The 25716-nt window shown below is 49.5% G+C and overlaps 2 protein-coding genes and 1 non-coding gene across 32 annotated transcripts in view, besides 5 other annotated features; 2 read left to right on the top strand and 1 right to left on the bottom strand.

Annotated features, from left to right (window-relative positions):
* Nucleotides 1-3136, bottom strand: part of ARMH1 (armadillo like helical domain containing 1) — a 50878-nt gene extending 47742 nt beyond the window's left edge. For all 27 annotated transcript variants that reach the window (XR_007059336.1, XR_001737140.2, XR_001737141.2 and 24 more), the window contains exon 1: nucleotides 2977-3136. The gene's annotated coding sequence lies outside the window, so the exon portion shown is untranslated. The remainder of the gene's footprint in view (nucleotides 1-2976) is intronic.
* Nucleotides 3197-3246: a silencer, noted in NCBI's record as "silent region_814". NCBI's record gives its function as "represses an Ori minimal core promoter by ATAC-STARR-seq in GM12878 lymphoblastoid cells {active_cell/tissue: GM12878}" and the evidence as "EXISTENCE:reporter gene assay evidence [ECO:0000049][PMID:35858748]".
* Nucleotides 3317-3366: a silencer, noted in NCBI's record as "silent region_813". NCBI's record gives its function as "represses an Ori minimal core promoter by ATAC-STARR-seq in GM12878 lymphoblastoid cells {active_cell/tissue: GM12878}" and the evidence as "EXISTENCE:reporter gene assay evidence [ECO:0000049][PMID:35858748]".
* On the top strand, nucleotides 3369-24603 carry TMEM53 (transmembrane protein 53). Of its 4 annotated transcripts, none has more exons than NM_001300748.2 (3): nucleotides 3369-3519; nucleotides 17555-17676; nucleotides 22734-24603. In NM_001300748.2, the coding sequence occupies exons 1-3, from the start codon at nucleotides 3459-3461 to the stop codon at nucleotides 23289-23291; spliced, it is 741 nt and encodes a 246-aa protein (NP_001287677.1). In that variant the 5' UTR covers nucleotides 3369-3458; the 3' UTR covers nucleotides 23292-24603. The 4 variants fall into 4 exon arrangements, with proteins under 4 accessions (NP_001287677.1, NP_001287676.1, NP_078863.2 ...); NM_001300747.2 differs by having other exon boundaries at nucleotides 22731-24603; NM_024587.4 differs by having other exon boundaries at nucleotides 22641-24603.
* Nucleotides 3424-3925: an enhancer, noted in NCBI's record as "H3K27ac hESC enhancer chr1:45139597-45140098 (GRCh37/hg19 assembly coordinates)". NCBI's record gives its function as "activates a minimal SCP1, AML or CMV promoter by ChIP-STARR-seq in naive H9 embryonic stem cells {active_cell/tissue: H9 hESC(naive)}" and the evidence as "EXISTENCE:reporter gene assay evidence [ECO:0000049][PMID:30033119]".
* Nucleotides 3517-3656: a silencer, noted in NCBI's record as "silent region_812". NCBI's record gives its function as "represses an Ori minimal core promoter by ATAC-STARR-seq in GM12878 lymphoblastoid cells {active_cell/tissue: GM12878}" and the evidence as "EXISTENCE:reporter gene assay evidence [ECO:0000049][PMID:35858748]".
* On the top strand, nucleotides 6794-6893 carry SNORD145 (small nucleolar RNA, C/D box 145). The gene has a single exon (NR_145816.1). It is a non-coding gene; the product is annotated as a small nucleolar RNA, C/D box 145 (small nucleolar RNA).
* Nucleotides 12881-12960: an enhancer, noted in NCBI's record as "active region_942". NCBI's record gives its function as "activates an Ori minimal core promoter by ATAC-STARR-seq in GM12878 lymphoblastoid cells {active_cell/tissue: GM12878}" and the evidence as "EXISTENCE:reporter gene assay evidence [ECO:0000049][PMID:35858748]".
* Nucleotides 24604-25716: the final 1113 nt, after the last annotated feature.

The raw sequence follows: 25716 nt of genomic DNA, 5'->3' as shown, positions 1-25716 counted from the left end.
TACTTCAAGGGTCATACCATTTAGCTGTCTCAGCCTTTGCCCCTCCTCATGCTGTCACCTAGAGACTCCAGAAAAACCTGCTCTGCCCATCAGAGACTGGTACCTAGCTCACGGGCATCCTCTTCCCTTCCCTCCCCTCAAGTCTTTCTATCATCCAGGGGGAGTTCAGTGGCCACATCAGCATCCTGACTGTCTCCTGTACTCCACTTTGGTCACTGACTCCCACGGCCACACAGTGGACCTTGTCATCACCGGAAACTACTCAAACTTCATTCTTCCACTTTCTGATCACAACTCCCTCATTCAATGATCTCAGATGTGGATTCTCTGACTTCACTGGGACCTCTAGTCCATACATTTTTTTTCACTCTCCTATCCAGTTTAGATACTAAGGCCCTTCATTTCAATCACTGTTTTGCCACAATCTTCAACTTCCTTGTCCTTTGTCCTTCCATTGTATCCGCCTGGTAAAACCCAAACCTAGATCAATTAAACTAACCTCTGTGTACCCACCACTAGGTGGCTGAATGTTGTTGAGGGAAAAATGCATATTACACAACCTTGCAGACTGCTGCTTCCGAAAATTAATGGTCACTAACCTCGACAGGGCCATGATAACTGCCCAGAAATCTGTTTGCTACCTTAGTCATCTCACTGCCACTCTCCAGTGCTGCTATTTTAATCTTTCTCTGCTCTTTTCAATCTCGCACACCATCTCCAATCCCACTCTCACTGGCTGATATAATGTTCTTATTTGACAGAGAAAATGGAAACCATCGAAGAATTCCCTCAGCTTCCTGTCACCAAACCCACCAATTAACCTCAACGTAATGCTTCCCTTCTGCCACAAAACAAATGTTCCTCCACCCTTCTAAGTGAATTTCTTCACCAACACTTTGGTGAAGTCTTTTTTTCAAGGGCACCATTCTCAGTTATCTTCTTTCCCTTATAGTTTTATCTTTTTCCCCTTTGCTGGATCCACATCAACATTTCTTCCATCCGAATAAAAACCTGTGTTTCCTGCTGGATATTGCCTTCTTTTTTCTTCTCCTAAATAGCCAAGCTTTCTGAAAATGTATCTTACATGAATCTTCACTTCCTCAATCCCATCTGCTTCTCAAACCACTGTAATTTGACCTCTGCTCCCATCACTCCACTGAAACTGCACTTGTAAAGGTCACCAACAACTTCCTTGTTTCTAAATCCAGTGGATTCTTTCAGGCCTTATTTTACTTGATTAGTCATAAGCCTTCAACACTTTCCTTCCTTGGCTTCTGAAACACCACATACTACTACTGATCTTCTTACCATTTTGGACACTTCATCTTGATTACCTTTGCAGGTTCGTCCTCCTTTGCCAGACCCTCAAACTTGGGTGTTTCTCAGGGCTCTGTCCTAGGTCTCTTCTGACTCTACACTTACTCCCTGGGCAAGCTCAACAAATCTATTGGTGTGGCTGGCATCTATAAGGCCCCATAGACTCCCACACTGCAACTTCCAGTTAGACTTATCTGGCGAACTCCAGTTAGGCATATCCAATGGCCTTCTGGATACCTCCACTTGGATGTTCCATTGGCACCCCAAGCTCACCGTGCCCAGAACTGACCCTCTCCTAAAAACCCCTGCTTCCTCTCCTTCCTGTTTGCCCAAACCAGGAATCTAGAAGTCATCCTTCATTTCCCTTACTTCCCCCACACCCAATTAGTAACCAAGTCCATTTTTTTCTAGCTATAAGTGTCTAAGGAATTCATCCTGCCCTTTCCATTTCAGCTGCCACTCCATGCTTTGTGCCACCATAATCCTTCCCCACTACTGAAACAACCTCCTAACTGGTCTCCCTCCTTCTCCCAATCCTCAATCCAGTTCCTGCACTAATGTTTCTTTTTTTTTGAGACAGAGTCGCGCTCTGTCACCCAGGCTGGAGTGCAGTGGAGCAATCTCGGCTCACTGCCACCTCTACCTCCCAGGTTCAAGCCATTCTCCTGCCTCAGCCTCCCAAGTAGCTGGGATTACAGGTGTGCACCACCATGCCCGGCTAATTTTTGTATTTTTAGTAGAGATGGGGTTTCGCCATGTTGGCCAGGCTGGTCTCGAACTCCTGACCTGAAGTGATACGCCCGCCTCAGCCTCCCAAAGTGCTGGGATTACAGGGGTGAGACACCACACTGGGCTCTTTGTTTTGTTTTTTGAGACAGGGTCTCACTCTGTCACCCAGGCTGGAGTGCAGTGGCACAATCATGGCTTACTGCAGCTTTGACCTCCTGACTCAAGTGATCCTCCCACCTCAGCTTTCCAAGTAGCTGGGACTTCAGGCATGCGCTACCATGCCTGGCTAATTTTTAAAATTTTAATTTTGTAGAGATGAAGGTCTCACTATGTTGCCCAGGCTGGTCTTGAACTCCTTCAAGCCATTCTCCCGTCTTGGCCTTCCAAAGTGCTGGGATTACGAGTTTGAGCCACCGCGCCTGGCATGCAAAGAGTCTTTCCCCCTCCCTATCTCTAAAAGTCTTTCAAGGCCCAGCTCAAGAGCCAACCCCACTGCCATAAATGCCCCTTCTCTGATTCTGAGCTCCTCAAATCCTTACTCTTCTGTAGTATTTATCTCACACGCAGAATCAGAGTTGCTTCATGCATGGTTTCTCTCCCTCTCCCGTTAAGACATGGGAGAGGGAGGGCCAAAAGCTTGATTCTCACTAGGGCCTAAGGAACCTTATTTAGCCCACCCAGTCTCTGGCACATAGTATGTAAATATGCTGGCACATAGTATGTAAATATAGATAAATGCAAGAAAGTTGCACTCCCAGCTCCTCGGTGGGCCCTATCAACAGGGCATTCTCTAAAGTCATCAACTGAAGACTGCTTCCCATCCACCCATCCATCCATCCATCCATCCATCCATCCAGAATATGCCTCAACCCCACTGGGTGGAGGTTGGGTCGGCACGCGCCCCCTAGGCCGTTTTGTACGGTTTTATACCTCCAGCCCTCGCAGTTGCGGCTGGTAGAGGATGGCAGAGGTAGGTAGACGATGCAAGTCAAAGGGCACACTCTTCCGCCGCGTAGGATAGGACTCTGTTCGGACGAGTGACCCTGCCCATTCCCAGAATACAGCAACTCTTCAGCCGCCTCTCACCTACATGAGAGGGTGGGGACTCTTCCTGACCGGCGCCCCGGCTGACCAATACCTGATCCAGATCAAGCGAATTAGCCAATGGCTGCGGGTCAGTAATAGGGGCGGGGCATGGTTGCTAGGGCCGAGCTAGTGGGGTGAGGCGAGAGGCTCTGGAAGAGACTCGGTGGTTGCTAAGGCGGGAGGTCACAGAGCGCGGCGCAGGGATTGGGCCGTGTTGGGGGAGGTGTGTGGTGATTGGGCGGCGCCCAGGAGGCGCCCGGGTGAGGCACGGGTGCGCAAGCGGGAGTTCCGGCTGGAGACCCGTGCTCTGGGCCGGCGCCTTCACCATGGCCTCGGCAGAGCTGGACTACACCATCGAGATCCCGGATCAGCCCTGCTGGAGCCAGAGTATGGAATGAGGGTTGGGTCCAGGCGCGGGGAGGTGACCTCATGAACCTGTGGGTTGCGAGCGCAGCTGTAGCCCCGCCCCTCATGCGGCCCCGCCCTCCCTCGGGCCGCCCCCTCATAGGGTCTGGCAGGTCCTAGACTTAGAGAGGCTCAGAGAGCCCCGCCCCTCGTAAGTCCCGCCCCAGAGTGTTCCTCCCTGGCGAGCCCCGCCTCTGCCCGAGTCAGCTGCTCGCTTGGGACCTCTTTTTCTGTCTTTCCTGTCCGGGGTGCTCAGGTCCATGCCCTTTAATCACTTCTCATAGCTGAAGGCTGCCGAAAGCTGGATCCCTCCTGATTCCTTTGTTTGGGATTGGGCTTCCCACATCTAGCCTATCACTTATTATTTTCCCGAAGGCGTGGAGGGGGAGGCTCGCGGGGTCACCGATCCTCGCAGAAGCCCGGGACTCAGAACCCTTAGCCGTCCCTCTCCACTCTTCTCGGCAGTGGTTAACAGTGCAGTCTCTGCCGTCGGGTAGAACTCGACTGAAATCCTGACTCCTTCCTTTAGGAGCTGGATTACCTTTGGTAAGCTACCTTCTCTGAACTTCAGTTTCCTCCTCTGCAAAACCGGGATAAGGATAGTAACCTTCCTCATAGGGCTGTTGGGGCCATCTGGAGATTGTGTAAAGGGCCTGGCATGGAGTGAGTTCAGTAATTGGCATTTACGATCAGCATTGTTTCTCTCCTTACATTAAAGAAAGACATGTAGGATTCTCCACAAAATTAGGATTGACAGCAGGCCCGCATCCATGACAGTGTGAGTAGATCGGGGTCCAGAGAGTGGAAAGTTTGGTCTCTCTGGGAATTCTGGCAGAAGGGCCTTGAAGTATGATCAGCCTGAGGCCAGCGTGTCCCTCACTTGCATTAGTCCAGCATCGCCTTCACGCCTCCTGTCTCACTGCCTGCAGCCCAGCCTCTTAAACTGCTACCACAGTGATCTTTCTAATGCAAAGGTTTGATCTTATACTCTGCTCTCCATAAAACTTACCTCCTTAAGGAGAGCCTTCCCAGATCCCTCCCGTAGCATCTCATGTTCTTTGGTTGGAGTCTAGGAGAGGGCAGCCCTTAGACTCCCGCAGAACAGATGGCCCCAGACCAGCTGTTTTTCCCTAGAACTGGATCTGCTGGCTTAGCGCTTTTGGGTTTATAGATGTAAAAATACTTTGGACACGTTTTGGCGTCAGCAAGCCATGAAGTCAGTTAATATTATTTCCTTTGGAGAGTCTTCGGCTGCAAAGGGTTGGAGCTGCCTTCTGCACGGCCAGGAGGGCAGCCTCGTGGTCCTGGTTCACATTTCAGCTCCATGTCTTACAAGTTATATGTCTTTGGCAAGCTATTGAACCTCCCTGAGCCTGAGATTCCTCCACTGTGAAATGGGAAGAGTACTAGTGCCTACCTCCTCGTGGGATTGCGAGGGTTACGAGGTAGCGTTTGGATGTGTGTCCCTGGCACAGTGCAGGTGCTGCCATTGCATTGCTCCCCTGTGGTTCCCCCTCAGCCCCCCTTTCTTTTTTTTTTTTTAAGAGATGGAGTCTCCCCTGTCGCCCAGGCCGGAGTGCAGTGGCGGATCCCATGGCTCCCTTTGCTGCTCCAGGAGGCTGGGTCTTAGAATTGGAAGAAATCTCAGAGACTGTTTTGTCCTGCCTCCCTCTGTTGGCATGAGTGCATTCCATTGCTAGCAGACCCTTCCCTGGGGCGATGCTTCTGCCCAAACATTCTAGCCTGTTGGAGGCAGCTGGGATTGTTAGAAAGCACTTCCCTTTCTTGAGCCACAATAGGCCTTCCTGTAATTTCCGCTCTCAGTTCAGTATTTGCTGTGTCCTGGCTGTGGGATCGTTGTTGGCCACTCAGAAGTGACTCACACGCCCAAGGAGCTGAGGTTTTGGGGAGGGGAGTGAATTTATAAGCAGGTGGTTTCAAAATGGTGTGCTAACTGCAGGGCTAGAGCATTGTGGTGGGAACGATACAGAGCAAGGAATCTCTCTTCCTCTGTTCAAGAGGACAGCTTCGTGCCTTCACATTTCCTCCAAGGGAAACACCTCCACGGCTTTCAGTTGTTTCTCCTCCTTATTGCTGCTCCTGACTGGCTTTAATTCATTGCCCTTCCCTCTCACAGTCCATGCTCCAGAGGAGAGCTAGAGGTTGTCAAACCCCTCAGAAGGAGATCACGACGCTGTGGTCCCCTGAATCCATTTGCTTCCTATCTGCAGAGCTTCCCTCCAGGCCAACATGGCCTGATAGAGTGACAGTCTTTTGGAGCCCCAGAGATTGTCTGTCTTTTGCAATTACTGTTTAATGGTGGAGAAGTGTATAGGACATTCATATTTAGTTTCTGAAATTACTTTTTAAAAACTTTTTTTTTTGAGGTGGAGTCTAACTCTGTCGCCCAGGCTGGAGTGCAGTGGCACGATCTCAGTTCACTGCAACCTCCGCCTCCTGGCTTCAAGCAATTCTCCTGTTTCAGCCTCCCAAGTAGCTGGGACTACAGGCACCCGCCACCATGCCTGGCTAATTTTTGTAGTTTTAGTAGAGACAAGGTTTCACCATATTGGTTAGGCTGGTCTTGAACTCCTGACCTCAGGTGATCCACCCGCCTCAGCCTCCCAAAGTGCTGGGATTACAGGCGTGAGCCACTGTGCCCAGCCTTTAAAAACACTTTTTTTTTTCAGTTTAAAAAATTTTCATTTTCTTATATGGAGACAGAGTCTTACTGTATTGCCCAGACTGGTTTGAAACTTCTGGGCTCAAGCAGTCCTCCTATCGCAGCCTCCCAAAGTGCTGCGATTACAGGTATGAGCCACTGCACCTGGCCTGAAATTACTTTTCCCCTGTATTTGAAAAATCGAAACCACAGAGCCCATCACTGCTGTGAGCTGACAGAGAAGCTGATGCTGGCACATTAGCTAGCTGGAAGGCAGCTGCAGATCTGGGGTCATTCAGAGCCCTGGGCCTTGTAGGTCAGGCTTGGCAGCCCAACATCCTTCTGCTGGGAATCCTACCAGCCAGTACCTATTGGCTGCCCACACCGATGGTCGTCTGCCCAGGCCTTTGCTAAAGCCGGTCGTTTGACCCAGAATCTGTCTTCCCTCCTCCCTCTCTTTTTCCCAGGCCAGTGATCCCCTCAGTCTCTCAATACCCTCTCTTACTTCATTTCATTTGGGAAGGGTCTCTCCTGGGGCTCCCATAAGCACTATATTTTCCTGTTGTCGTGTTTTTGATGGCTTCACTCACTGTCACCAGGGCCTGGGAGGGATGATGTACCAAGTGAGCTGAATGGAATCACTTGGCAGCACTGTAGGCCCAAGCCAGAGCTGCTCTGACATCCCAGGCCCAGGCCGTGCCACCCCTCCTCCCATCCAGAGAATGGTCAGCCAAGTCCCACCTAGATCCCCTCTGTGACTTGCTCATAGGCCAGCAACCTTCTTAAAGGCACCGTGTGGCTCTCATGTTCAGTAAACATAAAGAAAAATTCATTCATAGAATTAATGAGTCTGGGGCCTGGTCATGGGACAAACATTTTGCTCTTAAAGTAAACAGAAGGTCTTAAGGGGATCACAGAGAGGGGAAGTGAGGGGGTTTTTGCTCCCCAGGTTTTACCGCATGCCTTTTTTGCTCATCACTGGCTGAGGTCAAAGAAATATAGACATCATTTTAACCCTCAGGAAGTTGTCTCGGACACCCAGGAGACAGTGCTGAAGGGTCTGGACCACCATGGTGGGCCCTGTGGTGGGAGAGGCTTCCTAGAGTAGAGCAGCCCAAGCTGGACCTGAAGCTTCAGGAGGGCTGACAGACCCCCATGGTGAGCAGCAGAAAGTGTGGAAGTCAAGTCCATGGCCATACCACCTTGAACATGCAGATCTCAGAAGCTAAGCAGTGTCAGGCCTGCTTGGAACTTGGATGGGAGAAAGTGCAGAAGTAAATCCCTGAAGGGGGACAGTGAGTGGCTGGAGGGAACAGGGGCCTGGCAGGAGGCCGCGCTGTGCTTTTGTGGGTGGAGAATTAGATGAAAACCTGAAGATCTGTCATGATGGACAGACCTCAAAGACCCAGGTGAAGAGAGTCGTTTGGGATTTGATCCTTGTCTTGTCTACGAGGACCCCAAAGGTCTTTTTTTTTTTTTTTAATACAGAGGAGTTGTATTTATTTTTGGAATCATGATCTCTTTTCTTTCACCTCTAGATAAGAGCCCTTTCTGGCTGGGCGTGGTGGGTCACACCTGTAACCCCAGCACTTTGGGAGGCCGAGGTTGGCGGATCACCTGAGGTCAGGAGTTCGAGACTAGCCTGACCAATATGGAGAAACCCCATCTCTACTAAAAATACAAAATTAGCCGGGTGTGGTGGCGCATGCCTATAATCTCAGCTACTCAGGAGGCTGAGGCAGGAGAATCGCTTGAACCTGGGAGGCGGAGGTTGCAGTGAGCCGAGATTGTGCCATTGCACTCCAGCCTAGGTAACGAGAGCGAAACTCCGTCTCAAAAAAAAAAAAAAAAAATAGGATGCTTTCTAAGTGTCTGCTCTATGCCAGGTGCTGGTGCTGTACTAGACCCTGGATTTGAGATCCAGGCCTCTTTGCAGGCCTCCTTTTCTCTGAATGTCTGTGGTACTTAACACTGTTAACCATGTTCTATCCACATGCCAGGCCCACCAGGAGCTCCTTTCATTATTTTATTAATCCTCACAACCACCTTGTGAAGTAGGGAGAACCCTTAATCCTGTTTTACAGATGAAGAACAGATGCTCGTGGGGAGGTAAAGTGTCTTGCCCAAAGTAATTCCAGATTTCAGCTTAAGAGCCTTACTCCAGAGCTTGTGCATGCCGAGATTTCAGTTGCCATTAGGAGGGGCTGCCTGAATACGATGCCATTTCTAGGAAACAATTAGGGACATGCACAAAGAAAGGGGTGTCCATTAAAGTATTTTTATAACAGCAAAAAATTGGAAACAGCATCATATCCAATAATGGGAGATTTGGTCACCATAAATTATGAAACATTCTATAGCCTCTCTGAAGCCACTAAAAATAATGGTGTAGAAATATATAAACTGACAGGGAAAAATGTTCACAATATATTGCCAAACGGAAGAAAGCAGATTACAAACAATATGATTCCAATTTTATTAGATATTCATTTTCTACTTTTTCTACAGTGAGTATGCATTACTTGTGAAGTAATAATAATTTCAATTTATTGAACTCTTTCCTTCTGCCAGGCACCATGATAAGCCCTCTATAGCTATTATCATATTTAATTCTTTGTATCATTGTCCCCATTTCACAGATAAGGAAATTGAAGCTTAGAGAACTTGATTAAGGTCTGTGTCATAGTTATTAAGTGGCAGAGGCAGAGATTTGAACCGAGATATGATTTTGTACAGTATGTACTCTTAGATACTATGCTACTCTGCTCTGCTCTTCTTTTAAAAAGTAAATAAAAAATAAAGTAATTTGGCCGGGTACAGTGGCTCACGCCTGTAATCCCAACACTTTGGGAGGCCGAGGGGGGTGGATTGCTTGAGCCCAAGAATTTGAGACCAGCCTGGGCAACATGGCCAAACCCTACCTCTGCAAAATAATACAAAAATTAGCTGAGCATGGTGGTGCTTGCCTATAGTCCCAGCTACTTGGGAGGCTGAGGTAGGAGGATTACCTGAGCCCAAGAGTTCGAGGCTGCAGTGAGCCATGACTACACCACTGCCCTCCAGCCTGGGCAACACAGAAAGACCTTGTCTCAAAGAAGAAAAGAAAAATTTGATTTAAATATAGGAACTGTGAGACACTAGAAAGTTTTTCTGGGGAGTAGAGAAAATTAAGACTCTTTCAATTTTTTGCATGTTATTTTATTTTTATTTTTATTTTATTTTATTTTTAAGACAGAATATCGTTCTGTCGCCCAGGCTGGAGTGCAGTGGTGCGATCTCAGCTCTGGGTTCACGCCATTCTCTTGCCTCAGCCTCCGGAGTAGCTGGGACTATAGGCGCCCGCCACCACGCTCGGCTAATTTTTTGTATTTTTAGTAGAGACGGGGTTTCACCTGTTAGCCAGGATGGTCTTGACCTCCTGACCTCATGATCCGCCCACCTCGGCCTCCCAAAGTGCTGGGATTACAGGCGTGAGCCACCAAGTCTGGCCAATTTTTTGCATTTTAAAAAGAAAACATGGTTTCTATTTTCATTCTGGCTTGCAAATAAAAAAGTACATATTGTACTGCAGACCCTTATGCCTTATCAGCCCATTCCTTTGTCTTCCCCATATGCCCCTGGGGTATACACAATCTAATTTATGCTTGAGTTTTATGGCTTGAACTGTTGTACAATATACGTATTTGTAATTCTGGCACTATCTGTGTCAGTGTTATTTGTTGAGAAATTCTAGAGGACAGGGAGCTTGTGAGATTAAATTGCTTTGTGGGGTACTCGAGAAGTGCTAGGGTTGAAAAGAATCCTTCCACATTGCTGAGGGGCTTCTGGGCATCCCTGGCCTCTTTGACTTCTCAACTGCTTTTGACTCTGCTGGACCACCTCCCCTGTTGTTTGAGATAATATTTTAACTCTCATTGCAGAAGTTATACATACTGATTTTAGAAAGTGGGAAAAAAATCATGAAAAAGAAATTGCCTCTAATCCCATAAATAATTGCTATTAATATTTGATGTATTTTTTTCTATGCATTAAAAAAAATACATGGCTGGGCGCGGTGACTCATGCCTGTAATTCCAGCACTTTGGGAGGCCGAGGTGGGCAGATCACCTGAAGTCAGGAGTTCGAGACCAGCCTGGCCAACATGGTGAAACCCCGTTTCTACTGAAACCACAAAAATTAGCCGGGCATGATGGTGGGCGCCTGTAATCCCAGCAACTAGGGAGGCTGAGGCAGGAGAATCGCTTGAACCTGGAAGGCGAAGGTTGTAGTGAGCCGAGATTGCACCATTACACTCCAGCCTGGGCGACAGAGTGAGACTGTCAAAAAAAAAAAAAACAACAAAAAAAGTGTGCGTTTGTGTAGTATGTGTGTGTATATGGGTATTCTGTTATGATATTGCTTTATAACTTGTGTTTTCACTTAATGTATTACTATTATTTTTAAAAATAATAACATTATTGAGAAATAATTCACATACCATAAAATCCACCCTTTAAAAATGTACTTCTGGCCAGGCGCGGTGGCTCATGCCTGTAATCCCAGTACTTTGGGAGGCTAAGGTGGGAGGATTGCTTGAGCCCAGGAGTTCAAGACCAGCCTGGGCAACATAGTGAGACCCTGTCTCTACAAAAAATAAAAAATTAGCCAGGTGTGGTACCATGTGCCTGTAGTCTTAGCACTCAGGAGGCTGTGATGGGAGGATCGCTTGAGCCTGGGAGGTTGAGACTGTAGTAAGCCATGATCTCACTACTGCATTCCAGCCTGGGTGACAGAGTGAGGCCCTGTCTCAAAACAAAACAAAAAAAAAAAGTACAATTCACTGGCTTTTGGTATATTCACAGAATTGTAAGAATATCACTGCCATCTAATTCCAAAACATTTTCATCATCTGAAAAAGAAACCCCATTCCTGTTAGTAGTCACTCTCCATTCCCTCCTCCCCCCAGCCCTTGGCAACCACTAATCTTTCATTCTCTGTGGATTTGCCTATTCTTGATATTTTATATAAATGAAGTCATATAATATGTGCCCCTTTGTATCTGACTTATTTCACTTAGAATGATGTTTTCAAGGTTCATCCATGCTATCACGTGTATTAGTACTTCATTCCTTTTTATGACTGAATGGTATTTAATTGTATGGATGTATCACATTTTGCTTATCTGTTCACAGATGATAGGAGGTATGTTTCCACCTTTTGGTTATTATGACTGCAATGAACATTCATGGGCAAGTTTTCATGTGGATGTATATTTTTAGCTCTCCTGGATGTATCCCTAGTAGTGAAATTGTGGGATCATGTGGTAACTCTACATTTAATTTTTTTGAGGATCTGCCATACTGTTTTCCAAAGTGGCTGCACCATTATGCATTTCCACCAGCAGTGTATGAGGGTCCTGGTTTCATCCACAACCAACACTTGTTTATTATCTGACTTTTTAATTATAGCCATCCTGGGTATAAAGAGATACCTCATAGTGGCTTTGATTTTGATTTCCCTAATGGCTATGATGTTGAGCATGTTTTTATGTGCTTATTGGCCATTTGTAAATCTTCTTTGGAGAAAGACCTGCTTAATATATTCAGGTCCTTTGCCAATTTTTGAGTTGGGTTTACTTTTTGCTGTTGAGTTTTAGGAGTTTTCTCTGTATTCTGGATATTACTCCCTTATCAGATACATGATTTGCAAATATTTTCTCCATGCTGTGGGGTTTTTCTTTTTTTCACTTTTTTTGGATTATGTCCTTTGAAATAAAAAGTTTTTATTTTGATGAAGTCTCAATTTATCTCTTTTGTTTGTTTGTTCCTTGTACTTTTGGTGGCATGTCTATGAAACTGCTACTTAATCCAAAGATTTACTCATATGTTCTCGTCTAACAGTTTTGTAGTTTCAGCTCTTACATTTATGTCTATGATCTGCTTAATGTATTATTGAATATTTCTCCATGATTTAACGTTTTTCTTTCTTATAAGTGGAATTACCAAGTCAAAGATTGCATGTTTTTTTTTTTTTTTTGAGATGGAGTTTCGCTCTTGTTGCCCTGGCTGGAGTGCAATGGTGCAATCTCTGCTTACTGCAACCTCCGCCTCCTGGGTTCAAGTGATTCTCTGCCTCAGCCTCCCAAGTAGCTGGGATTACAGGCCCCCACCACCGTGCCCAGCTAATTTTTTGTATTTAGTAGAGACGGGGTTTCACCATGTTGGTCAGGCTGGTCCCCAACTCCTGACCTCAAGTGATCTACCTGCCTCGGCCTTCCAAAATACTGGGATTATAGGCTTGTGCCACTGCGCCCGGCAAAGATTGCATGTTTTTGAGACTTTTGATACATGTTCCAGAATTCTTGTGACCGTTTTCTTCCTGTCATTTCTACCCCTCCCTATCTGTCTCTCCACTGCTCTGGTTCAGGCCTTCACCATCTCTTGCCTTGAATTTTACAGTAGCCTCCTACCTGTTCCTGATGATGTCAGTATAGTGTGTGTTAAGTGCAGTGGTGTGGTGGTGGGTGCTGTGGCAGTACAGAGGAGGGGCACCTCACTCAGTCTGATGGTTTGGGGTGGGGGGTGGTGAGAAGGGGTTGGGGAGGGCGTCAAGGAAGGCTTCCTGGAAGTAAGTAGTGAGCTGATTCTATAGGTGGAATGGGCATTAGCAAAGCATGAACACGGAGCATCAGCATCGTGGGCTGGAGAGCAGAGAGCAAGTGCAAGGTCGCGGTGGTGGAGGCGGTAGAGCACGCTGGTCCGGATAGTGGGCGCTGGCTCTGCTGCTTCCTGGCTGTGTGTTCTTGGGGGAAAGGGACTTCCCCTCTCTGTGTTTTAGTTTTCTCTTATGTAAAATGGGGATAGTAATAGTAGCTAACTCCTAGGATGGTTGCAAGACCAAATGAGGCAGCATATATTGAAGTTCTGGCTGGGAGAAGCAGGTAGATGAGGTCATTTATGGGGTCTCTTGATGTACAGGAGGCAGCCATGTATACAGGTTTGGAGCTGAGGTGATGGAGATGGTTTTGTTATCTACAGGGCTGGCTAGGATAGCGGATACAAGCTGGTCTTTAGAGTTAGACCAGCTGGGTTTGGATTTCAGCTTCACTGCTTGTTAGTTATGTAACCCTGAGCAAGCCGTTTCGTATGTGCCTCAGGTTTTCGTCTGTAAAATGAGAATTCTTGCTCATAAGAGTATTGCAATTTTTTTTTTTTTTTTTGAGATGGAGTTTCGCTCTTGTTGCCCAGGCTGGAGTGCAATGGCGCGATCTCGGCTCACCGCAACCTCCCCACCACCAGGTTCAAGCGATTCTCCTGCCTCAGCCTCCTGAGTAGCTGGGATTACAGGCATGTGCCACCACGTCCGGCTGATTTTTGTATTTTTAGTAGAGATGAGGTTTCTCCATGTTGGTCAGGCTGGTCTTGAACTCCTGACCTCAGGTGATCAGCTTGTCTTGGCCTCCCAAATTGCTGGGATTACATGCGTGAGCTACCACACCTGGCTTTTTTTTTTTTTTTTTTATAATAAGGTCTCATTCTGTCACCCAGGCTGGAGTACAGTGGCATGATCATGGCTCACTGCAGCCTTGATCTCCTGGGCTTAAGCTATCCTCCTGCCTCAGCACCCTGAGGAGCTGGGACTACAGGCGTGTGCCACCTTGCCCAACTAATTTTTATAGAGATGAGGTTTCGCCATGTTGCCTAACCTGGTCTTGAACTCTTGGGCTCAAGTGATCTGCCTGCTTTGGCCTCCCAAAGTGCTGGGATTACAGGTGTGTTGTGAATAATAAATGAGTTGATATGTAAAATGCTTACAATAGTGCCTGACACATCATGCTGTGTGTGTTAGCACTTTTTGCTGGAGAAGTTTTTAGTGGTTTAGGAACAAGGTATATTTGATTGCTTGTACAGGGTTCTGGTAAGTCTGAATAGAGTGGGAGATCCAGCCAGGGGCCAAAGTTTTCAGTGCCTCAAAGTTAGCTGCCAGAGGCCTGCAGATGTCAGCAGCAGGAAGGGGAGAGGGTGATACGGCCAGTGGAATAAGTAAGAAAAGGGGAGGAGTTTGTACAAGAGGGTGGAAGAATCATGATCCTGATGTGGCAATGAATAACAATAGCCATAGCAATGACTTTTGGCCAGGTGCGGTGGCTCACGCCTGTAATCTAGCACTTTGGGAGGCTGAGGCGGGTGGATTGCCTGAGCTCAGGAGTTCGACACCAGCCTGGTCAACATGGTGAAACCCCATCTCTACTGAAAATACAAAAATTAGCCAGGTGTGGTGGTGGGCACCTATAGTCCCAGCTACTCAGGAGGCTGAGGCAGGGGAATCTCTTGAACCCAGGGGGCGGAGGTTGCAGTGAGCCAAGATCGCGCCACTTCACTCCAGCCTGGGCGAAAAAGTGAAACTCCTTCTCAAACAACAACAACAACAACAACAAAAGTGTTTTTAAATGAGCCGGGCCATGGTGGCACGTGCCTGTGGTCCCAACTACTCAGAAGTCAGAGGTAGAAGGATCGCTTGAGCCCAAGGAGGTTGAGGCTGCAGTGAGCTGTGATTGTGCCACTGCACTCCAGCTTGGGCAACAGAGCGAGACCCTATCTCCAAAAATAAAGAAATCAATAAAGAATATTACAGAAAGCTTGGGCTATGGGAGTAGGCAGTCTCTCCAGGGTGCCAGAATTCTGAGGGTTTCTTCGCCTTCATGGAGGGTGAAGAGTCATTCCTGCCTGAGTTGGTAAAGCCAAGGTTGCCAGCAAAACGGAGTTACAAATCCCAGCCTCAGGAGGAGGGGCAGTTGGGAGGCCCAGCAGCAGCTGTTTGAACCTCTGGCAATTGGGAGTGCACCATCTCTGCTGGTGGGGGCTGGCCTTGACATCCCGTGGCTGCCAGGGGATGTGACCTCCCTTGGTTGCTTTCTCTGTATTTGCGATAAATCCCAAAGCCCTTTGCTGGTGTCTCGGTGGTGGCACATGGGGGCAACCCTGTAGGCAGGGGAGGGGGAGCCTGTTCTCAGACAGCTGCAGAGGTAAGGGAGCCTCCCAGAACAGGGTCTTGGAAATTGAGTTGCTGGGTCTCGAAGATGCAAAAGCAGGTTCAAACGGTAGCTGCTGATTACCCTCCATGAGGCCGCCGCAGCCTGAGCCTCGTGGGCAGAGTCAGACCCAGCAAGGTTGGCCTGGGGCCCCACTGAGGCCCAGGGCCTCTCCACCAGAAAGGCCAGTGCAGGTGAAGAGCCATCTGGCAGAAGATGGGGACACTAGGCTGAGAAAAGTGGTGAGAATATTTGGAGCTGCTTGAGATAGACCTGTGGGACTGTCTCCCTTATCAGAGGCCGAGCCAGCACCTGTGGAGGCCGGGAGGGCTGGCAGGTGTCAGCAGGGGACTGAGGCTTTGGCAGCTTCTGCTCCAGGCTGAGTTGCAGCCAGGCCTGGGACCCCCACCGGTGCGGGCAGTTAATCTCCGAAGGCCAGAGTCACCACCACTAGAGAGCAGGAACATTGAACTTTTCAATCACATTAATTTCCACAGGAAATTGTTGTCTTCCTTTTGTCCAAAGGTTAGTGATTTATATTTACCATCCTCTTAACTAGCCTTGAAATTTACTGTTGCCAGGTCACCACCGGCATCCATAAATTTCAGGGTGGCAGCTGAGCATAGCCAAGTGGCTTGGTCCTTGGAAGGGTGCATGCCGGCCCTTTTGGGAGGGCAGATTAACTGGCTACAGACGGTCCTTGTACAGAAGTCCCCCTGAGGGGGCGGGTATTCACTTTGCAGGGGAAATGAGATGAGGTCTGTTTGACAAGGTTGCAGGGAGGCTTCCTCAAAGGCAGCCCTGGTGGTGGTGGCGGCTGGTTTGTGCCTCTTAGCATATCACCAGCTGTGGATGGGGTGGCAGCACAGATGGTGCTGGAGTAGTTTAGGGTGGGGAGCAGGGGCCAGATTCCCAGCCCTACACTTTGCTTAGACAAGTACCTTAACCTCACTCTGCCTCAGTTTCTTCATCTGTAATAAGAGGACCTGCCTTAGAGTATTGTTATAAGGGTTAAACCTCAATAAATATAGGCTATTCTCTGGCAGGACAGGGTAGGTGGCTTGGTATGGGCCAGAGTCAGCCTCATGTCCCTGCCTGCACTGTCCTATCCATTTCTCCTTTTAAGACTTTCTTGTTCCCGGGAGGCTGAGGTGGGCAGATCACTTGAGGTCAGGAGTTCGAGACCAGCCTGGCCAACATGGCAAACCCCCTTTTTTACTCTTAAAAAAAAAAAAAGAAAAAGAAAGCTGCACATGGTGGTGGGTGCCTATAATCCCAGCCACTCAGTAGGCCGAGGCAGGAGAATTGCTTGAACCCGGGAGATGGAGGTTGCCCTGAGCTGAGATCGTGCCACTGCCCTCCAGCCTGGGTGACAGAGCAAGACTCCATCTCAGAAAAGACCCTCTTCTTCCATCTGCTCATGGAATTAGAACAGGGGCTGGCAAACTTTTTCTGTAAAGGGCCAGTCAATATTTTAGGCTTTGTGAGTCGCTCGATCTTGTTGTAACTACTCTACTCTGCTGTTCTTAGTGTAAAAGTAGCCATAGACCCTAAGTAAATGATAAGTGTGGCATGTTCCAATAAAAGTTTATTTGTGGACAATGAAATTTAAATTCCATATAATTTTCACGTGTCACAAAATATTCTTTTGATTTTTTTTTTTTTTTTGAGACAGAGTCTCACTCTGTTGCCCAGGCTGGAGTGCAGTGGCTCAATCTCGGCTCACGGCAAGCTCCGCCTCCCAGGTTCATGCCATTCTCCTGCCTTGGCCTCCTGAGTAGCTGGGACTACAGGCACCTGCCACCACGCACGGCTAATTTTTTTTTTTTTGTATTTTTTTGTCTTAGCCAGGATGGTCTCAATCTCCTGACCTCACGATCCGTCCGCCTCGGCCTCCCAAAGTGCTGGGATTACAGGCGTGAGCCACCGCGCCCAGCCGATTTTTTTTTTAACCATTTAAAAATGTGAAAATTAGTTTAGCTCGCAGGCCATACAAAAATAGGCAGTGGGCTCAGTTTGGCCCCGGGGTTGTAGTTCGCTGAGCCCTGGATCAGAAGAGGAAAGGGCGTGGACAAGGTATTTACTTTCCTCACTTGGGCTGTCTTCGAGTCTCTAAAGAAAGGTGCCCTTGTGTTGGTTTGTCCGGTGACCCCATGGTGCCTCCTGCAGAAAGGCAGCTGGAGCAGCACGGGGTGGGAACTGGTGCATGCGTGCTGGCAGGATGCCTGGGCCTGGCACCCGTTGTTCCCTGCCTGCAGCAGCCGGAGTGCTGCTGACTCTGGATTGGGCAGTCACCCCCGCCCCCACCCCAGCTCTGGTGTTGACAGTCCACATCTGTGTTTCAGAGAACAGCCCCAGCCCAGGTGGGAAGGAGGCAGAAACTCGGCAGCCTGTGGTGATTCTCTTGGGCTGGGGTGGCTGCAAGGACAAGAACCTTGCCAAGTACAGTGCCATCTACCACAAAAGGGTGAGTACTCTGGTGCCCTCTCCCCTGGGCTGCCGTGAGGGCTGACCACCTTTGAGGCAGGACTGGGAATGGCTTTAAGAACAGCCTCTAGAGTTCGAGACCAGCCTGGCCAACATGGTCAAACCCTGTCTCTACTAAAAATACAAAAATTAGCCGGCCTGGTGGCACGTGCCTGTAATCCCAGCTACTTGGGAGGCTGAGGCAGGAGAATCGCTTGAGCCCAGGAGGTGGAGGTTGCATGAGCAGAGATTGTGCCATTGCACTCCAGCCTGGGTGACAGGGTGAGATTCCGTCTCAAAAAAAAAAAAAAAAAAAAAAGCCTGTGAGGAAGGCCATGGGGTTATAGGGACTTGGTGGGATTATCCCCACTTGGCTGCCAGCTCTGTGGCCTGGCGTGACCCCTTTGGTCTCCTGATGGCTTCCCCTTCCTTCCTCCCTGCATTCCACAATGGGCAGCCCACCCTTGATGTGCCCTACAGTTGTAGAGTCAGCCCAGGCTCCAGTCCCTATTAACTGGCCAGTGCCTCTGCGGGCAGCAGGAGCCAGGGCTGGGTGTCTGGACATAGCTTGTACTCCCAGGACCTCCTCCTTTCCCACCAGGTGAGTTTCTGTCTTATGACTGCCCATGGCACCTTTCACATTCCCAGACTAGTAGGGCCTCTTGGAAAAGAGATTCACGCTTCTTCTCATCCAACCAAGGTTGGATATAGAGACTGTGGTAACTGCAGAGGGCCTTAGCAGGACCTGGTTATATTTTGGAAGCCTCTCTCACATCTTGGGCCTCCAGCTCCACCTTCCCCTCCTCAGCCCAGATCTCTCCCCCAAACAGCCTCCTGCAGGGGTACCCATACAGACAGCTCCAACTGCCAGCTGGAAGCCTTGGACTGAGCAGTGGGGGGGCACCTGGGAGAAAGGCCAGCTGAGCCCCCTTTCCCTCAGCATCCCTCCACTCACCCACGTCCACATCCCGCCTGACTGAGGTGTGTGGTGGCCCTGGAATGGGAGAGAGACTGGGGGAAAATGTAGTTCTGAGCTTGAAGTCTCTCCCCGACCTCCGAGGCTGGGGCTCTGGTGTTGCTTTTTACAGACAGCCTCACTGCGGGCAGTTTCAGCTGCGAGTTCTGCTCACTGGGCTCGGCTTGTCTGGCTTCTTCATTAGCCTGAGATCCTTGAGGGCAGGCAGGGGGACCAGGAATAGTCAAGTATGGCTGGGATGAAGAATGAAGGGACAGGTACCCGGCAAGAGGTGGGGCTTGGAGGGGGTCCTCAGGGTATTTAAGCAGGGATGTGATGTTAGATTCGTGAATCAGAAAGTCCCTTTTGGCCTGGCGCAGTGACTCATGTCTATAATCCCAGCACTTTGGAAGGCTGAGGCGGGCAGATCACTTGAGGTCAGGAGTTCAAGACCAGCCTGGCCAACATGGTGAAACCCCATCTCTACTAAAAATACAAAAATTAGCCAGGCATGGTGGCGCACACCTGTAGTCCCAGCTACCAGGGAGGCTGAGGTGGTAGGGATCGCTTGAACCTGGGAGGTGGAGGTTGCAGTGAGCCGAAGTCGCACCACTGCACTCTAGCCTGGGCAACAAAGTGAGACCCTGTCTCAAAATAAACAAAGTTCCTTGCTGCAGAGTAGCGGGGAGATTGGAGGGGTGGGGCAGGAAGCCAGAAGTGAGTTTAGAGGGGCTTGCCATGATCCAGGGATAGAGGGTAGTCAGGACCTTGGAGTTGGGGGTGTCGGTAGAGGTAAGGTGATGGATTGAGGAGTTTGTCAGGAGGTAGAATGGTAGTTTAATGAGAGATTGGGCATGGGCACAGGGATAGGGAGGTTCCCAGGGTAATGCCAGGTTTCTGGCTGGGCACCTCCTGGGTAGAGGGGGGTGTGTTTTTTGAGACCGGAACACTAGAAGAGAATCCATAGGCTCTGGAGTGGATGAGATCCCCCAGGGAGTGTGTAGAGGGACAGAAGAGGGCCTAGGACAGTCCTGAGGAACCCAAACTTAATGGAGTGGAAGATGAAGAGGGTCCTACAAGGAAAGGAGGAGTGGCCAGAGATGGATATGAAAACCCAGGAAGGTGTGGCAGAATCTGCAGAGTCTTTGGGAAATGGGCCGTTGTACAGGGCAGGGGTAAAGATGCTACTTGGGCAGAAGGCATGAGGGAGAAAGTAGATGGAGTAAGATCCCAGAGAAGGCAGAGGTGTTGAGGTTGCAGGGTTGGGGGAGGGGTAGTCTTGGAAAGGAAGACTTTCCAATAGGGAGGACAGGATGAATGTAGAGAAAAAAAAAAAGTCCAACCCAAAACTCTAATATTTTATTATTTAAAAGAAAACAAGGTGGATGCTGTGGCTCATGCCTGTAATCCCAGCACTTTGGGAGGCTCAGAAAGGAGGATCACTTGAGCCTAGGAGTTTGAGACCGGCCTAAACAGCATGGTGAAACCTGATCTCCACAAAAAAAATTGAAACAATTAGCCAGGCACGGTGGTGCGTGTCTGTAGTCTTAGCTACTTGGGAGTCTGAGGTGGGAGGATCACCTGAGCCTGGAAAGTTGAGGCTGCAGTGAGCTGTGATCGTGCCACTACACTCCAGCCTGGGTGATAGAGTGAGACCCTGTCTCAAACAAAACAAGCAAAACAAAACAAAAACACCATATTCTAGCACCTAGAGATGACCTCTATTTACACTTAGTGTATATCCTTCCAGCTTTTTGGGGGGGTATATCTTCTCTTTACCTACATGAGACCTATTGAATCTACTGCTTTGTATCCTGCTTTTTTCAGATCATGATCTCCACCTTCTTGTTTGATCTCATTTAGTTTCCAGTCCATATTCAGATTCCCTAATTGTCCCTAAAGCATCCTTTACAGCGGATGTGCCCCAAACAGGATCCAATCTAAGATCACACATTGCATCTAGTTATTTTGTTTCTTCTTAAGGCTCTTTTAAATCCAGAACTCTTCCCCTCCCCACCTGATTTTAGATTCAAGGTCTCACTCTGTCACCCAGGCTGGAGTGCAGTGGTGCAATCATAGCTCACTGCAGCCTCAACTCTTGGGCTCAAGCAATCATTCTGCCTCCAGCCTCCCGAGTAGCTGGGACTGCAGGCATGCACCACCACGCCAAGCTAGTATTTTTTTTGTTGTTGTTCTTTTTTTTTTTTTGAGAGAGAGTCTTGCTCTGTCGCCCAGGCTGGAGTGCAATGGCGTGATCCCGGCTCACTGCAACCTCTGCCTCCTGGGTTCAAGCAATTCTGCTGCCTCAGACTCCCAGGTGTCTGGGATTAGAGGCATGTGCCACTACGCCTGGCTAATTTGTGTATTTTTAGTAGAGACGGGGTTTCATCATGTTGGTGAGGCTGGTCTCGAACTCCTGACTTCGTCATCTGCCCACCTCAGCCTCCCAAAGTGTTGGGATTACAGGTGTGAGCCACTGTGCCCAACCATTTTTTTTTTCTTTTTTAGAGATGGGGTCTCCCTATGTCGTCCAGGCTATAGAACAGCCCCTTTTTTCATGTTACTGGCTTATTGAAGAGACTGGGCTGCAAGATAATATTTCTAGGAGTGTGTGATTCCAGATGCTGCCAGGGAGAAACATACAGTGGGGACTGAAAGGCCTCTGTCAGATTTGAGCATTTGGGAGAATGTGGGTGGCCTTAAGCAGCCTCCTCTTCAGAGTCTTGGGAGGGATGCTTAGGCACTCCAGGGCTAGGAGGTCAGGCGGCTGATGGCAAGGTACCTCTGCTGACCATCCCTGTTTAGCCATGGGTCATTTAACTACTGTGGCCATACGATTTTCTCCTTGTCACTACCACATCACTAATTACTGCTGCTGTTGGTTGAGAGTTTACTTTGTGTCAGGTACTGCTTTGATCATTTGAGATACATTTTTTTTCATCTAATTTTACCCATAACCTTATGAGGTGGGTGTTATCCCAATTTCACCGTAATCTTATAGATGGGGACCCAGACTCAGAAAGTAGTAAGCTGCTCCTTGTTCTTACTATTGATACATAGTGGTGCCAGGAGTTGAACCCGGACCTGTCTGACCCCAGCACTCTCCAAAGTCACATTCCCCTGACAAAGGGCCCTTTGTCTCTGAACAGGAGGATGAGAGGGGATTAGGAGCCAGGCATGGTGGCTTTTCTAACTGACCTAGAAGGGGACCTGTGTGGAGATTGTGGCACCCTTGGCCCAAGCGTGAGGAATATAGAAACCTAGAGGGAGTTTGGGCCCAGATTATAGAATTCGAGGAACAAGTGTTTACTGTATTTGGAATTTCAGGGCAGATATGAGGAGTGATCCCAGGCCGGGGAACCAGGGACATTTGAGTGTCAGGTCCCTGAGTCCAGAGAGTATGGACTCTGTTTTTAGGAGCCTGGGAGAGAGGGAAGGTGACAGTGACCAGTGATGAAAGTGATGTGGGCCTGGCTCAGAAGTGGCCTCTGGTGGTCAGGGCTGGCGCCTGCAGGCCAGCTCTCGGGTACTGGTCTCATGGGGGTACTACTTCTGTCTGGGAGGTAGGGACAGTGCAGATCTGAGGTGCTGGGACAGGGTATAGCCAAGCAGTGAGGCCCCATCCCAAATGTGCAAGGCCTAGGATGGGAGTGCGGGGCACAGACAGGAGGGAACCAGAGTAAAGAGACTTCCTCTGGTCAGCCCAGGTGTCTCCAGTATATGCTTCAGGCTCTGGGCCTCAAATACCACTCCAGGCCAAGAGGGCTTGGCCAGCATGAAGCAATTAGTCCAAAAATGGGCCTTAAGTATACCTTCCCTGCCCAGAAGGCACCTGTGTCTGTGGGCAGCGGGCTGGTGGGCTCAGGCTGAAGCAGGACCCAGAGCATTGCTGACGCTGTGGGCCCCATGGCCTATGTCCTACAGGCTGGGGTTGCTGGGCCCCTCTGACCTTAGCTTGTACCCACTACCCCCACCTCATCTGTGAGGACTGACCAGGCCTCTCTCCCCAGGGCTGCATCGTAATCCGATACACAGCCCCGTGGCACATGGTCTTCTTCTCCGAGTCACTGGGTATCCCTTCACTTCGTGTTTTGGCCCAGAAGCTGCTCGAGCTGCTCTTTGATTATGAGATTGAGAAGGAGCCCCTGCTCTTCCATGTCTTCAGCAACGGTGGCGTCATGCTGTACCGCTACGTGCTGGAGCTCCTGCAGACCCGTCGCTTCTGCCGCCTGCGTGTGGTGGGCACCATCTTTGACAGCGCTCCTGGTGACAGCAACCTGGTAGGGGCTCTGCGGGCCCTGGCAGCCATCCTGGAGCGCCGGGCCGCCATGCTGCGCCTGTTGCTGCTGGTGGCCTTTGCCCTGGTGGTCGTCCTGTTCCACGTCCTGCTTGCTCCCATCACAGCCCTCTTCCACACCCACTTCTATGACAGGCTACAGGACGCGGGCTCTCGCTGGCCCGAGCTCTACCTCTACTCGAGGGCTGACGAAGTAGTCCTGGCCAGAGACATAGAACGCATGGTGGAGGCACGCCTGGCACGCCGGGTCCTGGCGCGTTCTGTGGATTTCGTGTCATCTGCACACGTCAGCCACCTCCGTGACTACCCTACTTACTACACAAGCCTCTGTGTCGACTTCATGCGCAACTGCGTCCGCTGCTGAGGCCATTGCTCCATCTCACCTCTGCTCCAGAAATAAATGCCTGACACCTCCCCACAACCTGCAATCTGTCGGGCACTCTTCTCGTTCAACTCCCTGTAGCCCTTTGGGACTTTGCGGTCCCCTAAGTAGAAAATTCCTATGGGCCTGTCTCCTGGGGGCCTCTGTCTGCTGGTGGTCTGCTTACCACAGAATCCTAAGGGGCAGGAGTGCCTGGGCATGTGTCTGTGGGAGCCTTGCAGTCAGTTGTGTTTGGACAAGTGCAACAGTCAGGCTGCTGATTCCTGTGGCATGCAGGCTGTAGAGGTTGACAAATGGAGGGGGGTGTTGAGGGTGAGCCCTAGTTGATTTTTTAAAATTTAAACTCTGGTAAGAACATTTAATATGAGACCTACTCTCTTTTTTTCTTTACTTATTTATTTATCTATTTATTTCAAGACAGGGTCTCACTCTGTCACCTAGGCTGGGGTGCAATGGTGCAATCATGGCTCACTGCAGCCTCAACCTCCCAGGCTCAAGTGATCCTCCCACCTCAGCCTCCCAAAGTGCTAGGATTACAGGCATGAGTCACCGCGCCTGGCCAAGATCACCTAACAAAATTGTAAGTGTGTACGATACTTAAAATTTAAGAGATTATGTGCACGGCAGACCTCTAGAACTGAATAGTCTTGCATCTTGCATAATTCAGAACTTCATCATCTTGCATAACTGAAACTTTGTGCCTGTTACCAGAGTTGAGTTTTGATTCCTTGAATGGAAGGTGACCTTTGTGGGGAGATGCCAGAGGGAAGGTATATCGGTCAGGGGTAGCGTCAGGCTGCGGATAGGGGCTATGATCTTTGCTCCAGCAGGGCGAAGCCCTACAGTGTAAAGTACCATTCACATGGCTCCCACTTGGCAGTTCACTCAGAGAGGCTCCTCTGACCCCATTGCCTGGGAGTCTGAGGTAGAAGCCAGATGAGGAGCTGAGGTTAGGGGCCTGCCTGGCTCTACCACACTTTGCTAGGAAGCCGCTGGGTCTGGGAAAGTTGCAAGCTGAAAGTTGCCAGAGACAGTGGGGGGCAGGAAGGCAGCAGCATTGTAACAGGAGCTGGGATGAGCTAACTCCCAAGCCCTAAAGACCAGAACCAGGGTAAGGGGATTTGGGCTGAAATAGCAAACTCCTTCATCTTCTGGAAGGGAGACCCACTTAGATACTCTCTAGGCAGAAGAGGTGAATTCAGCCTGATAGTTCAGTATCATTGATCATTCTAGAAGTCACTACTGCACAATGTTGGCATATAGTAGGTATTCAATAAATATTTGATTGAATGAGCTTACCGTGGTGATCACGGGGCTTAGGGGGCAGTGAAGGAGATGGCTAGAAAAGCTCTGGATGGGAGCTGACTCTTGGGGATGATGGATCCTTTGTCCCCAGAGCCGCGTTCTGTCTGCATCCCATCAGTCCTTGGTGAGTCCCCACTATGGTGGCAGGGATTCCCATGCTGTGTGGCTGCATTCCTAGCCATGGCCAACAGGTGGCAGTGCAGCCTGTGCCATGAGACAGCTCAAGGCTCCCACAGCAGGGCGGGCTTCAGTGGAATGCCCTCACTCTGGGTTAATGGCCCCTTTTAGAGACCATATGGCCCCCAGGGTGGCAGTAACCAGCCATCAAGGACCTACTGAGTCCAAGCTTGTGGGAGGGGAGACTAAAGACATCAAAGAAGTCGGCCTGACAGGAACTGGGCATTAAGAGCCTCCTCTTCATCTCTCCGTTGCCCTCACCTACCCACTCTTCTCTTCCAAACCTGTTTCTTTCCCAAACCCTCAGCCATCGCTGGAGCTGTTCCACCCGCCTCGACAGAGGCTGTGTACATCCCCAGGATCCCTGTGTTCAGGATATTGGGTGCCATCAAACTGGGCGTGGAGCTGTGAAGGGCCTTTGCTGGGCTCCAAGGGGGACTTGTCTGTGCTTCATCTGGGTGCAAAGGGTGGCAGGAGCTGCCAACTGGACCCAATTCTGAGGAATTCACTGTGGGTATCCCAGAGAAAATGGGCAACTAAGGCTGGGGATTTGGGCAGATGGGCCTGGTGTGCAAGGTGTCAAAGCAAGTCTGGAGTCATGGGGCTACTCTGGGGCCTTGACTGTTTTTCTCCAAACAGCTTTCTGTTGTGGGTGAAGACTTACATGTAACTTTTAGCACCTGCCTGGGAGGCATCTAGGAAGCTGAGCTACCTCACTGGCAGTGGGGAGCTGTGGGGGTCAAAGTGCCATCTCTCCAGCCTTGGTTCTCTGAGCACATGGGAGACTTGAAGGTCCATCCTGGATAATAGGGTTTCCATTCTTTCCATTTGAGAATCTAGGCAGTAGCTACACTGGGATGATGGTCACTAGAGATACATTTGGAGAATAGAACAAAAGCCTGGGAGGCTGATAGGGTGATCCCAC

The sequence above is a fragment of the Homo sapiens genome, chromosome 1 (genome assembly GCF_000001405.40).
Source record: "Homo sapiens chromosome 1, GRCh38.p14 Primary Assembly".
Classification (NCBI taxonomy): Eukaryota; Metazoa; Chordata; class Mammalia; order Primates; family Hominidae; genus Homo; species Homo sapiens.
Note: the sequence above shows the minus strand (reverse complement) of the source record. Positions and strands in the feature narration are given on the sequence as shown.